The following is a 14,871-nucleotide window of genomic DNA, read 5'->3' on the forward strand; positions in this document are numbered from 1 at the left end:
ACAGGCACGGGAGCTCCTGGCAAGGCACAACCAGGGCAAGTGACAGTTTGCCAGTCCTGGGCAAGCAGACACTTATCCTCTCTCCAGTCCCCAATCCCACCAGCCTGCACAAGCAGAGAAACATCCTGCATAAATTAAAAGATTATCCGGATCATCAAAAGATCTGAGCAAACAAAACGACTGAGACAAAAAACAAACAAAACAAAACAAACAAAAAACAGAACAACAACAACAGAAGAACACTCATTTTTACAGAGAGATTTGAGCCCATCCCAACAGAGTACAATGCTCTTTCCAAGCTCATGGATGGCGTTTGGGAAAATTTAGCTGTGCTAAAGGAGCAGGAAGCCTCAGCCCCTTTCCCAAGAATTGCTGTTACACAAATCACATTCTCTCACCAGGGTGCAACAAAATTAGAAACATGCAATAACAAAGACCATGTTAAAAGTGCATTTTGGGGCCGGGCACGGTGGCTCATGCCTGTAATCGCAGCACTTTGAGAGGCTGAAGCGGGTGGATCACCCCAGGTCAGGAGATCGAGACCAGCCTGGGCAACATGACGAAACCCTGTCTCTACTAAAAATACAAAAAATTAGCCAGGCATAGTGGCAAGAGCCTGTAAACCCAGCTACTAGGGAGGCTGAGGCAACAAAATCACCTAAACTTAGGAGGCAGAGGTTGCAGTGAGATGAGATTGTGCTACTGCACTCCAGCCTGAGCGACAGAGTGAAACTCTGTCTCAAAAAAGAAGAAAAAGTGTGTTTTGGAAACAAAGTTAGTTTTCACAATGAAAATTATGAAATGCCTGGAACTCAATAGCAATAGGGTATTACATATTAAAATTATGAAACTCAACAAAATTGACATTTAGGGAGAGATTTATATCCTCAGATTAATTTGTCAGAAACAGGATAAAAGGAGAAAGCTGATGATAATTTGAGTAAAAGAGAAAATAAAAACTAAAATGAAAAACTTTTCAGAAACAAACTACAATAAGTGTGTGACCTATCAAAATATCTGGATGTGTCCAAAGCAGTTCTCAGGGGAAATGTTATAGCTGGAAGTGTTTGTTAATATGCTTCAACAGAAGACATATAAAATTATATAAACTAAGTAAACATACAAGAAGCTTTTTTAAGAGAAACAAGAAATAAATGTATTTAATTTTAAAACAGCCATAATAAAAGTAGACTTGATAAATAAAACCGAAAACCACTTCTTTGAAAAGACCGTTAAAAAAACCTCTGAGAAGTCAAGCAAAAGAGAAAGAAAAGGCACAAATTTTAAAATGTTAGATTTAGAAAAATGGCATAATAACCAACGTGGAGAAGCTGCTTCAAATCAAGGAGACGGGAGGCCAGCTTCATTCCATGGGAGGCCAGCTTCATTCCAGTAGGTTCTGTTTCACCTGGATGAAATGGAAGATTTTCTTGGAATGTATAAATTGGCTTAGCAGGAGGCAGAAAACCTGAATAAACAGAACAAACAGAAATGGTAAGCAGGTGCTCAAGGGGCTCCATCAGCCTCCAGGGATGGGCTGCTGTGTTAGGGAGGGCCAGAGCACAGGGGAAGTGGAGTGTAATTCTTTCTACAAGATTAGCAAGCTGAACTTGAATCTCACACACGCACACACACCACAGTGACATGGAAAGAATCCACAGGACACTTATGAGAGGTAAAAATAGAAAGTTTCTGCACAAAACAATCGTGTGTGTTTAAAAGATACCATGTGGCAGAAAATAGTGATCTATGTTTGCCAGTGTCTAGGAAGAAACCTTGAAGGCGCACGCCAGACTGGCGGCTGGGTTGGCTAGGGAGGAGACGATGGGGTGGGAGCAGCTAAGGACGACACACACTCTTTTAACTCTGTTCCTGCGTTGTCGGGACGTTTACAAACTGAAGATATATATTTTTAATTAATTATTTTTTTTTTAAATTTTACTTTAAGTTCTGGGATACATGTGCAGAACATGTAGGTTTATTACATAGGTATACATGTGCCATGGTGGTTTGCTGCACCTATCAATTTGTCATCTAGGTTTTAAGCCCTGCATGCATTAGGTATTTGTCATAATGCTCTCCTTTCCCTTGCCCCCAACCCCTGGATAGAACCTGGTGTGTGATGTTCCCCTCCCTGTGTCTACGTGTTCTCATTGTTCAGCTCCCACTTATGAGTGAGAACATGAGGTACAAACTGCAGATATTTATACATTACTTTAAAGTAATTAAGTTAAACTAAACTAAATGTAAGCCAACTACATGTAAATAAATAAAACCAATAATTAATAACAAGATAAAAGTAATTAATACTTAAATAATTACTAATTTATTTCTCAGCTAAAAATTAAAAATTTAGAAAATGTGGAAATGTGTTTCATAATAGGAGGATATTTAAAATGAAAGGGCATTTCTGTAGTCAAAGGGGTAGGAGACTCACCCAAACAAGACACAACCTCAAAACCAAAAGGAAAACTATCAGGTTTGATTATACGAATACTGAAAACCTCTGAATACATGAAAGGCAAATTCTATATCCCATGAAACTACCCTTCAGAAATGAAGAGAGAAATAAAGACATTCTCAGAGGAAGAGAATATAGGAATTTGTCACTGGTCAATTTAGAAATGCTAAAAAATGGCTACGGAAATATGTTCTGTCATTTCCACAATACAAAAAATTAAAACAAAAAAATCAAAATAAAAAAAATGGCTATAGAAAGTTCTTATGCAGAAGGGATGAATATGGGACTATGGGAGGAGGGACAAAGGAAAGATGAGAAATGTGGATACATACGCGAGACAATCCACAGTTCTTAAAATCACATTTGACGACTGAAACAAAAACTATACCACCACCTAATACTCAAGCCAGTGATTTATACAAGTGGAAAAGGTAAAGAGACATAAATGCAAGGCAGGTTTCCACACTTTGAAGTGGTAAATACTGGTACCAGTAGACTACTATATTACAATACACATATTGTAACATCCAGAGCAAACACTTTAAGACTATACAAAGAGATACACGCAACAACATTATACAGAAATAGATCAAGATGGAGGGAAAGAAAAAGGAAACAAAAAAGCAAATAATAAAAACATCAGACATAAGCAATTATGTAACAATAAGCACCTTAAATGTAAATGGTCTAAATAAACCAAAAGACAGATTGATGGAGAGCCTATAATAAACACATGGCCCAACTAAATACTGTTCATAAGAAACTTCAAACTCACTTAAGGACCTAAGTAGGTTGAAAGTAAAAGAATGGAGAAAGATATCCTGTGAAATCATTAATTTTTTAAGGAAGCAGGAGTGAATATATTAATATCTCATGAAGTAGACTTCAAGCAAAATAATGTACCAGAGCTGGAGAGGGTCTTCGCTGAATTTTAAGATCTAAAATTTCCTATGCTGCCTTGACATCTTTGAGCCTCACAGGGCCCCAAAGGCCTAGCCGTGGGTTTTCCTGTTTCTACCAGACACCCCCTACCCTGCCACCCAACAGGAAAGGCTCCCCACCTGGCTAGTTCTTTTATCAGCCAGAACAGTTGCACCTCAGCCTAAGAAGTTTCACTTCACCTGTCTGCGAGCCCATGAATTTATTCAAACAAGCCAATTGCATTCCCCCTTGGGAACCATTGGTCATTGTGTGCTCTTGTTACTACCAAGCCCGCCTGCTTCCTCAGCCCGCAGCCCTCACTCCGCTACAGAGTGCGGTGCCCATCTGACCCTGTGTGGCATGCAGTGTCCTCCTCTGAGCTGTGGGTATATGCGACTAAAACACTGCTGTCAATCTCATCCATCCACGCCAGGTGTCGTGTTCAGCCATCTCCTACACTTTAGGGCAGGGACCCCTCCTTCACCAATGGGGTGAAAAGGAAGTGACCATAACAACTGCTTAATGACAAAAGGATTAACCCACCAAGAAGACATCTACTTCAACATCCTCCTCTTAGCAACTGTTAAAACTAGGCAGAGGCCGGGCACAGTGGCTCATGCCTGTAATCCCAGAACTCTGGGAGGCAAAAACAAAGGATAGCTTGAGGCCAGGAGTTCGAGCCTGGGCAACATAGCAAGGCCTCATCTCTCCAAAAAATTTTAAATTTAGCCAGGTGTGGCGGCACACACCTATAGTACCAGCTACTCAGGAAGTTAAGCCAGGGGAAGTACTTGACCCTAGGAAGTCAAGGCTGCAGTGAGTCATGTTCGTGCCACCGCACTCTAGTGTAAGTGACAGAGTGAAACTAGGCAGAAAAGGAGCAAGGATTTACAAAAGATCTGAACAGTCAACCAGCAAAATCTGACATCCGTATAATACCCCACTCCCCAACAGCAAAACACACACATTTTTAAAGCCAATAGAAATCTACCAAGATGAGGTACACTTGGGGCAATAAAAGAACTCACAGCAAATCTCGCTGTGTGCCCCTCTGCGCCGGCGCCGTGCCCCTCTCTGCGCCTTCTTTTCTCACCATGGGGAAGCGTCTGGGGGCCTCTTGAGGGACCCCCTAGATGCTTCTACTCAGAGCCCCAAAAGCCGGGGAGCCTCCACTCCTCTGTCTGCAGCCTCCCCTGTCGGTTCTCGCTACCCAGGGTTCAGTGGCCTGGGGGTGACGGAGGGGGTCGCCTCTGCCAAGGCCCCTCCCGGCGCCTCCCTGGCTCATCCAGCCCACCTTCCTCCCACGCTGGCTCACGCAAAGTGCTCTGGTCACCAGGAGCCCTTCCTGACCAGCCCCAGCCCCTTCTTGGCCTTCGCCCACCTGGCCTCCCCTGGAGCCCTGACCTGGGTGCCGGGCCTGCTGGGTCCAGAGCCCACCCGGCCCTGAACAACCCCGAGTCTCAGCCACCCTTGGTTCTTACCCTTTCACAGCTGGGGAGTGGAGCCTGGGCCTGCGCCTCTCCGAGCCAGAGCCGGCGCCAGCGCCTCTCCGCGCCTGCGCCGCCGCTGCGCGCCTCGCCGCCACTGTCTGCCTCTCCGCCGCTGTCCGTCTCTCCGCCGCGCTGCCGCTGTCCGCCTCTCCGCCGCTGTCCGCCTCTCCGCCGCTGTCCGCCTCTCCGCCGCGCCGCCGCTGTCCGCCTCTCCGCCACTGTCCGCCTCTCCGCCGCTGGCCGCCTCTCCGCCGCGCTGCCGCTGTCTGCCTCTCCGCCGCTGTCCGTCTCTCCGCTGCGCTGCCGCTGTCCGCCTCTCCGCCGCTGTCCGCCTCTCCACCGCGCCGCCGCTGGCCGCCTCTCCGCCGCTGGCCGCCTCTCCGCCGCTGGCCGCCTCTCCGCCACGCCGGCGCCAGCGCTGTGTGCCTTTGCGAGGGCGGAGCTGCGTTCTCCTCAGCACAGACCCGGAGAGCATTGCGAGGGCGGAGCTGAGTTCTCCTCTGCACAGACTTCGGAGATACAGCGAAGGCAGAGCAATGTTCTCCTCAGCAGAGACCCGGGCAGGCGGGCTGGTGGCACCGCGAGGGCGGAGCTGCGTTCTGCTCTGCACAGACCTTGGGGGCACTGCCTCGCTTTGGGACAACTCGGGGCCGCATGGACGGTGAATAAAATCCTTCCTGTTTGCAGCCCTGTTTGTGGTTGGTGGCAGCGATGGACACTGCAGCCAGCCAGAGCGTAGAAAGACGTCGGGGTAAGTGCGCTATCCAGGCTGCACTGTGGGTGGCCTGGGACGGGTTGGGAGCCCTATCTCAGGCGTCACTGCCCGTCTTGGGTGGCCGGTTGGGTGTGCTATCTGGGGCTGTGCTGCCTGCACCGGGCGGGGGGGGGGGGTGGTTTGGGGGCCAAACCGGGGCTGCACTGCCTTTGGTGGGGAGCCGGTTGGGGGCACTATCCCAGACTGTATTGCTGGCAACAGTGAGGTGGGCTAAGTGTGCTATCCGGGGCTGCACTGTGCGGCTGTCGGGGGGGTGGCAGTTTCGGGTTGAGGGCGCTATGGGGTGCTGTAATGCCCATGGTGTGGGGAGGCAGGGCAGTTTGGGTATGTTGGGTGTGCTATTGGGGGGGTGACACTGCTGGTGGTAGGGGGCAGGGTGGGTTGGGGGCCATATCAGGGGCTGCACTGATGGCTTTAGCTAGGATTTCTGGTACTATGTTAAACAACAGTGGTGACAGGGGGCATCCTTATCATGTTCCAGATCTTAGAGGAAAAGCTTTCCATTTTTCCCCATTCCATATGATTCTAGCTGTGGGTGTCTTTCCTGTAGTTTTTATTATGTTGCGGTATGTTTCTTCTGTGCCCGTTTCTTTGAGGATTTATAGCATGAAGGGATGTTGAATTTCATCAAATGCTTTTTCGGTTTCAGTTGACGTGATGATACTGTTTTTGTCGTTTATTTGGTTGATATGATGTATCACATTGTATGTTGAGTGACCCTTGGGTCCCAGGGATACATCCCACTTGATCATGATGAATTATCTTTTTAATGTATTACTGAATTTGATTCACTGGTATTTTGTTGAGGATTTTTGCATCCATATTAGAGATCCTGGCCTGTAGTTTCCTTCTTTGATGCTTTTGTCTGATTTTGGTATCACAGTAATAATGGTCTCATAGAATAAGTTTGGAAGTATTCCCTCCTGTTTTTCAAAATAGTTTGAGCAGGATTCGTACTAGGTCTTTAAATTGTTTGGTGTGAAGCCATCAGCAGTGAAGACATCAGTTCCTGGGCTTTTCTTTACTGGGAGACTTTTTCTGATGGCTTCAATCTCATTACTTGTTACCAATCTGTTCTGGTCTTGGATGTTTTCATTGTTTAACCAAAGTAGGTTGTATGCATCTAGGAATTTGCCAATTTCTACTAGGCTTTCCAATTTATTGGCATATAGTAGCCAGTTATGATCCTTTGAATTTCTGAAGTATTAGTTGTAATGTCTCCTTTTTTTAATCTGTTGATTTTATTTATTTGAATCTTGTCTCTTTTCTTAGCCTGGTTAAAAGTTTGTCAATTTTGTTTAGCTTTCCAGAAAACCAACTTTTCGTTTAATCTTGTCTGTTTTTTATTTCAATTTTGTTTGTGCTATGATCTTATTTATTTTCTTATTTTCAGTTTAGTTTGTTCTTTACTAGTTCTTTAAGATGTATTGTTTATTTGAAGGTTTTCTTTTGTTTGGATGGTAGGCACTTATAGCTGTAAATCTCTGCCTTTGTACTGCTTTCTGCATAACAAGTTTTGGTATACTGTGTTTTCATTACCCTTTGTTTCATGAAATTTTTGAATTTCTGTCTTAGTATCTTCATTGACCCACTAGTCATTTATTCAGGAGGGTGGTGTTTAACTTCCATGTGATTGTATTGTTTCCAAAATTGCTTTTCTTATTGATACCTAGTTTTATTCCTTTGTAGTGAAAGAAGATGGCCACGGAGACAGACAGCAGCGTGGTCAGAGTGGTAGGAGCTGGCCATCAGCGAGAGCTGCTCCATGCCTGGCTGCTGGGTCCTAGAGCCTGTGGCCCACTGGCTTGCCTCACTGTGGTTGGTGGTGGTGGTGACAGAGACTACAGGACGACCAGAGTGGTAGGACAGGGGCTATCCAGGGCTGTACCTTTCGCAGTGTGGGGTGGGTTGAGGGCGCTATCCAGGGTGTCATTGCCTGCATTAGGGGTACTGGTTGGTAGCACTGTACAGGGCTGCACTGCCCATGGCAGGGAGGGTGGGTTATGGGTGCTCTCTGGGGCTGCAATGCCCATGGAGGAGGACAGGTTAGGGCACTATCGGTTATACGCTACTGGCGGCATTGGGGGACGGAGGTGGGGGGCGCTATTGAGGGCAGGACTAGCCGTGGAGCGGGGGCGAGTTCGGTGCTATCAGGGGCTGCACTGCTGGTGTCGGTCAACAGAGTTGGCATCCAAGGAAGGAGTGGTTCTCCTCTCCCTGACTCCACACTCCAGAGGGCGACCCACTCTTGGTCATACTGGAGTGCAGCAGGGCACGCAGCATTTGCGTGGGAATCCTGAGCATGGCAGAGCCCCCACACCCACCGTGGTTCCTGGGCCTGTGTACTGTGGGTCTGTGCCTCAGAGGCTGCCAGGCACCCCTGGGGACACCACGGGGGACAGGGCCCTGTGCGTGGAGGCGTCCGGAACAGGAATTGGCACCTGGGTGTGGAGGGCTGGCTGGGTCTGAATTTTTCTGCTTCTCCTGCTCCCTGAGGAGTGCAGCCCAGTGGGCCCAATGGTTCCTGTGGAGTGGGGAGCTGGATGCTGTGGTGTCTCCAGCACCCACCCCAGACCCCAGTTCCTGCCCAGCTTGGGCCAAAAGGAGAGGCTGGACTTTGGAGGGTGGGTGTGAGTGCCTTTGCTGAAACTGGCCCCTGCCACCCAGTGGCCGGCATGACAAGTTGAGGCTCTAACCCTTCCACCCCTCACATCTTTCTCTAGGCTTTTCTGGCTTTGCCCGCCCAGCTGCTCTGTGCCAGGAGGAGGAGACACCTAGAGCCTGCAACACCATGGCTCGCCTCACTGCGGGTGGGCGGCAGTGACAGAGACTGCGGTACACCAGAGCGGTAGGAGAGCGGCTGCGCTAGGAGGGCAGGCGGCTGCAGCCAGGGTTGGGGGTCAGGCTTAGAGCGATGGACGGGCTGCAGCAGTGGCCAGGTGGTAGGAGCCTTGTAGGGAGGGCTGGTGCATTGGCAATGGGCCTGGCTTTGCCCTGCGCCTGCCGTGGATCTGGCCCTGTACTGCCCTGCCTTGCCCTGTACCTGCCCTACTGTTACTTGGACTCTCGGCCCTGTCCTGCTCTGGTCCCATCCTGACCCTGTCTTGGCCCTGTGCTACCCTGTCCCTGCCCTGGTCTTGCCCTGGCACTGGCCCTGCCCTGAACCTGCACTGGCCTGACCTTGGCTCTGGCCCTGGCTCTGGCCCTGCCTCTTGTCCTGACCCTGGTCGTGTCATGGCACTGGCCCTGCCAATGGTCATGGTCCTGCTCCTGTTCTGGCCCTGACCTGGCCTTGGACATGTCCTGGCCCTGCTTTGGCCCATCCCTGCCCTGGCTCCACCATGGGCCTGCCTGTTCTGCCCTCTCCTGGCACTGACCTTGCCCTGTCATGGCCCAGTGGTGCCATTGCCCTGCCTTACCCTGCGCTGGTTGTGACTTGGCCCCGCTTGGTGCTGGCCGCTCCCTGGACCTGCCCTGGACCTGCCCTGACCCTGCCCTTGGCTTTTGCCCTGCCCTCACTATGGCCTGGCCCTGGCCCTAGCCCTGGTCCTGCCATATCCCTGGCCCTGCCCTTATCCAGGCCCTGGCCTGGAACCTGGTCCTGTCAAGGACCTGCCCTGACTCTGCCATGGCCCTGGCCCTGCTCTGCCTTGTTCCTGGCCCTGACCCAGACCCAGACCCTTTCCTGGCTCTGCACTGGACTTTCCCTGGCCCTGAGCTGGCAATGGTCTGCCCCTGGTCTTGCCATCACCCTGCCCTGCTGCGCTCTGGATGTGTCATCACCCTGCCCTGGCCCTACTCTGCCTTTGACCCTGCCCTGGCCTTACCTTGGCCCTCACCCTAGTCTTCGCTAGACCCTGCTCTGGAGCTGGCCCTAGCACAGACCTGGCCCTGATCCTGGCCGTGGTCTTTGTCCTGCCATAGCCCTGGCCCTGAAGTGGACTTGGAGGTGTCCTGGCCCCGGCATAACATGGCTCTGCATTGGCCTGTCCCTGCCCTGCCGCTACCATCTCCTTGCCCTGCTCTGTCCTGTCCCAGTACTGACCCGGCCATGCTATTTCCCTTCCCTACCCTGCCTTGGCTGTGCCCTGGCTCGGTTCTGGCCCTGGCCCCGGCCCTGCCCTGGACATGCTCTGACACTGCCTCAGCCTCGGCACTAGCCTGGCTCTTTCTTGGCATCAGCCCTGCTCTCTCTGTGGACCGGCTCTTGTCCTGTCCTGCACTGGCCATACCATGCCCTGCCCTGCCCTGCCCTGACTCAGTCCTGGCTCAGCCCTGGCCCAGCCTTGGCCTTGGCATTGCCCCTGGTCATGCCATATTTCTTGCCCTGTCCCTACCCTGGCCTTGGCCCTGACCCTTACCTTGCTGTGGCCCTGCCCTTGCCCTAACGCAGCCCCTGGCCCTGTCATGGCCCTGCCCTGGACCTGTCCTGGCCCTGGCCCTTCCCTGCTTGAGACCTTGCCCTGGTTCTCTCCTGGCCCTGACCCTGAAATGCCTGGCCCTACCCTGGCCTTGCACTGCTCTGGCCCTTGCCCTGACTCTGGTCCTGTCACTGGCCTAGCCCCAGCCCTGTTGCTGGTCTCACCATGGCCCAGACCCTGCCTTGGCCCTGCCCTGACACTGTCCTGGACCCTGGCTGTGCCAAGAACTTGCACTGTCCTTGCCATTGTTTTGCTCCTGCCCCGAACCTGGTCCTCCCCAGGCCGTGGCCATGGCCCTGGCCCTGGCTCCGCCCAGGTCTTGGCACTGTCCTGGCCCCGCCCTGCCCTGGCCGTATGCTTTCCTGGCCCTGCCTCGCCGGCCCTGGCCCTGCCTTGGCCCTAGCCTGGCTTTGACCCTGCCCTGGCCCTACCTTGGCCTTCACCCTAGCCTTACCTGGGCACTGTGTTGGACCTGGCCATAGCACAGACCTGGTTGTGGTCCTGGTCCTGCCGTGGCCCTGTCTCAGACCCTAGCCCTGCCAGGTACCTGTCCTGGCCCAGCTCTGGGCCTGGCTTTGTCCCTGGTTCTTAGATGAACCTGGCCCTGCCCCTGCCCTTGCTCTTGCCCTGACACTGGCTTTGGACATGTCCGTGGTCCTAACCCTGGCCCTGCCCAGGAGCTGCCACTGTCTTGGCTGTGCCCTGGCTCTGGCCCTGCCCCGGCCCCAACCATAGACCTCCCCTGGTTGGTCGTGCCCTACCTTAACCCTGTGCTACCCTGGGCCTGCTCCACCCTGCCCTGGCCCTGCCCTCCCTTTGGCCCTGTCCTGACCCTGCCTTGGCCCTCACACTGACCCTAGCACAGACCTGGTCCTATGTGTGGCCTTGGCCTGGCATTGACCCCTGCTCCTGACCCCGGTCCTGCCATGGCCCTGGCCCTGCCAATGACCCTGGCAGCCCTGACCCTGGCCCTGTCTTGGCCCTGGCCCTGAACTGGCCCTGCCCTGACCCTGGCCCTGAAGTGGATTTGCAGGTGTCTTGTCCCTGATGTAACCTGGTCTTACCATGGCCCTGTCCCTCCCCTGGCTCTGTCCTGGCCTTCTGCTGACCCTGACCCAGACCTTGGCCCTGCCCCAGCCTTGTCCTAGATCTGGCCATGGCCCTGCCTCTGCCCTGGACCGGCGCTGGCACTGGCATGGACCCTGGCCCTGGCCCTTCGCTACTTAAGGCCATACCCTGGCCCAGCCCTGGTCCTGATGCTGTCCTGTCCCTGATTTGGCCTGGCTCTACCCTGGCATGCTATTCTGGCCCTAGCCCTGACCCTGTCCCTGTCCCTGTCCTGGCCCCAGCCCCATTGCTGGTCCTGCCATGGCCCTTGTCCTGACATTGCCGTTTCCTGGTTCTGGCCCTGGCCCTGTCCCAGCCCTGCTCTGGCCCTGGTCTGAACCCTGGCCCTGCAATAGACCTGCCTTGGTCCTGCCCAGACCCTGGCTCTGGCCCTACCTCTGCCCTGGCCATACCCTTGCCCTGGCCTGGCCCCCAGTCCTGGTCCTTGTCCTGCCCCAGCTGTGGCCCTGTCCCTGCCCTGCCTGTGCCCTGTTCTATCCTGGGCTGGCCCTGCCGTGGCCTGGTCTTGCCATTGCCCTGCCCTAGCCTGCTCTGCTTGTGCCCTAGATCTGCCCCTGTCTTGGTTCTAGCCTTGACTGAGCCCTGGACCTTCCCTGACCTTGCCTCAGCCCTGGCACTACCCTGGCCTTGCCTTGGCATTTGCCCTACTCTCTCTATGGCCTGGCTCTGGTCCTGCCCTGCTCTGCTCTTGTTCTGTCCTGGCACAGCCCTGGCCCTGGCCCTGGCCCTGCCGTATCACTGGCTCTGGTCCTGCCCTTATGCAGACCTGACCCTGCCACTGCCTTGGCTTTGGCCTGGACCTTGGCCATACAGTGACCCTGCCATGACCCTTTCCTGGCCCTGGCCTGGAACCTGGCCCTGCCAAGGACTCGCCCTGGCTCTGTCATGGCCCTGGCCCTTTCCTGGATTTGGGTGTGTCCTGTCCCTTATTTGCCCTGGCCCTTCCCTGGCTCTGCCATACCCCTTTTCTGGGGTAGGGCCAGGGTCAGGACCAGACCAGGGCAGGGTCAGGACCAGGGTAGGGCCATGGTAAGGCCTGAAGATGGGAAGGGCCAGGGCAGCGGCTGGACCAGGGAAGGGTCAGGGCCAGGGATGTAGTAGGACTAGGGGCAGAGCCGGCACTAGGGCTGAGCCAGGGCAGAGCAGGAGAGATTACAATGGGCTATTACGTAAAATTTTTATTTTAGATTTTTAAGATAACTATAGTAGTAGTAATGTCTATACTATATTGTTTGTAATAGTAATAATATTTGCAGTAATCACTAAATTTTAACTAATACTATCTTTGCTTCCAGTAGTGTTCTATGAGTATAATTTTATCAATATGTTAATATGTGAGGCATTGATTCTCACAATAATTCTATGTGCTAGGTACTTAAAGCATCCCCATTTTCCAAATGTAGGAAACAGGCATAAAGAAGTTAAATACTTGGCCAGATTACTCCTGTAATCCCAGCACTTTGGGAGGCCAAGGCAGGCAGATGGCTTGAGCTCAGGAGTTTGGAACCAGCCTGGGCAACATTGTGAAACCCCATCTCTACTAAAAATGCACAAAAAGAACTAATTTAAGTTTCTTGTAGGATTCTGGTTATAAAACACTGGTCAAACACACAGGGCATGGATAGGGCAGGGCCAGGGACAAGGTCAGGCCAGGAAGGGGCCAGGGCCAAGGCAGGGCCAGAGCTGGACTTGGAAGTGTCCTGGTCTGATTTGCCCTGCCCCAACGTTGGCCCAGCCCTGCTCTGGCACTTCCTGTCATGCCCTGTCCCTGGCCTGAGCACTGGCCCTGGCCCTGTCCTGCTTCTGGCCTTGCCCAGGAGTTGACCAGGCACTGCCATGGCCCAGTCCTGCATTGCCCTGCCCTCCTCTGCCCTGGTGCTACCATGGCCCTGCTTGGGCCCTAGCTCTGCCTCTACTCTGGACCTGCCCTGACTCTGCTCAGCCCTGGATCTACCCTGACTCTGCCTTGGTGTTGCCTTCCCATCTCTATGGCCTGGCTCTGGCCGTGCCTTGCACAGTCCATGCTCTGCCCTGCATGTCCCAGCCTGGGCCCAGCCCTCGTCCTACCATATTCCTGACCCCAGCCATACCCTTCCTTCTGGGCGTGACCCTGCCGTGGCCCTCTCCTGGCCCTTCCTTGGTCCTTCCCTGCCCTTCCATGCCCTGGCCTTGCCCTCACCCTGCGTTGGCCCTGCACTGGTCCTGCCCTGCCCTGGCACTGCCTTGGCCCGGCCCTGCCTTCTCCCTGGTCTTGCCTTTGCCCTGCCCTGGCCTGACCCCAGGCCTACCGAGTCCATGAAATGGCCCTGGACCTGCCTTGCCATCGTCTGTCCTGGCCCTGTATTGTCCCCACCATGCTCTGGTCCAGCACTTGCCCTGGCCCTGTTGTTAGTCCTGCCACTGTTATGGCCCTGCCCTGTTTTTGGCCATGCCCTGTGCTACCCTAGCCCTGCCCTGCCTTGGCCTTGGCCCTACCATGGCCTTCTCCTACCCTGACCTGGCCCTACACTGGCCTTTTCTACCCTGGCCTTGCCCTTCCCTGGTCTTGCCTTGCCCTGGCCTTGCCCTGCCCTGGCCTTGGCTTTGCCTTATCCTGGTCCTGGTTCTGCCCTGACCCTGGCCTTGCTCTGGATCCTCTCTGGTTCTGCTTTCTCCCTGGCCCTGCCCTTGCTCTGGCCCTGTCCCTGGCCCAGCCTTGACCCTGACCCTGGCCCTGACAATCCCCAGGTCTGACACTGGCCATGCTTGGCCCTGGCCCCTCCTTTTGGCCCTGCCCTGGCCCTGCCTTGGCCCTGTGCTATCTTAGTCCTGCCCTGGCCCTGAACTCACCCTGGCCCTACCCTCACCCTACACTGGCCCCACCCTACTGGCCTTGCCCTGCCCTGGCCCTGCCTTTGGCCTGCTCTGGCTCTGCTTCTGCCCTGGCCTTGCCCTTGCCCTGGACCCTCCCTGGCCGTGTTTTTTCCATGGTCCTTCTCTGGCCTTGCCCTTGCCCTGTCCCCTTTCTGGTCCTGCCATATTTCTGGCCCTGTCCTGTCCATGTCCTGGACCTGACTCTGGCCCTGGACCTCCCTGTCCCTGCCCTGCCATACCCTGGCCCGTTCCTTGCTCTACACTGACCCTGCCCTGCCTTGGCCCTGTGCTACCCTAGCCCTGCCCTGGCCTTCTGCTGACCCTGATCCTGCCATGGCCCTGGCCCTGCCATGTCCCTGCCCTGGCCCTGGTTCTGCCCTGCTTCTGGCCCTGGCCTTGGTCCTCTCATGTCCCTGGCCGTGACCCTGCCCCTGGTTTTTCTCTGGCCATGACCCTGCCCCTGTTCTGTCCTATCCCTGGCCCTGTCTTAGTTCTGTCCTAGCCCTGGCCTTTCACAGTACTTTATGCTTAGTAAGGGCTCCATGGTGTCTGTGAGTTGAATGTTGTGTTCATAGTATCTGCCAAAACAGAAAGAAATAAAACAAAATATTTTGATAAGAAGTTAAAGCTTTGTATATAATATACCTTGAATTGTAAATGCCTGTTATTAGTTGTATTACATATAGGTCATGGTTTTGTACACATAACTCCAAACCATTGATACTGTTAAAAGAATATATGAATATATGAAAGAATGTATAAACGTAAGAATGTATCAGTATCTAATGACCTTTCCAAATTAATTTTTATTTTTAGCTCTAT

At 53.3% G+C, this 14,871-nt stretch overlaps 3 annotated features.

Annotated features, from left to right (window-relative positions):
• Window positions 4,645–5,156: an enhancer, noted in NCBI's record as "H3K4me1 hESC enhancer chr2:90527913-90528424 (GRCh37/hg19 assembly coordinates)". NCBI's record gives its function as "activates a minimal SCP1, AML or CMV promoter by ChIP-STARR-seq in naive H9 embryonic stem cells {active_cell/tissue: H9 hESC(naive)}" and the evidence as "EXISTENCE:reporter gene assay evidence [ECO:0000049][PMID:30033119]".
• Window positions 13,259–13,758: an enhancer, noted in NCBI's record as "H3K27ac hESC enhancer chr2:90519311-90519810 (GRCh37/hg19 assembly coordinates)". NCBI's record gives its function as "activates a minimal SCP1, AML or CMV promoter by ChIP-STARR-seq in naive and primed H9 embryonic stem cells {active_cell/tissue: H9 hESC(naive and primed)}" and the evidence as "EXISTENCE:reporter gene assay evidence [ECO:0000049][PMID:30033119]".
• Window positions 13,759–14,260: an enhancer, noted in NCBI's record as "H3K27ac hESC enhancer chr2:90518809-90519310 (GRCh37/hg19 assembly coordinates)". NCBI's record gives its function as "activates a minimal SCP1, AML or CMV promoter by ChIP-STARR-seq in naive H9 embryonic stem cells {active_cell/tissue: H9 hESC(naive)}" and the evidence as "EXISTENCE:reporter gene assay evidence [ECO:0000049][PMID:30033119]".

Source organism: Homo sapiens, chromosome 2 (assembly GCF_000001405.40).
Source record: "Homo sapiens chromosome 2, GRCh38.p14 Primary Assembly".
Lineage (NCBI taxonomy): Eukaryota > Metazoa > Chordata > Mammalia > Primates > Hominidae > Homo > Homo sapiens.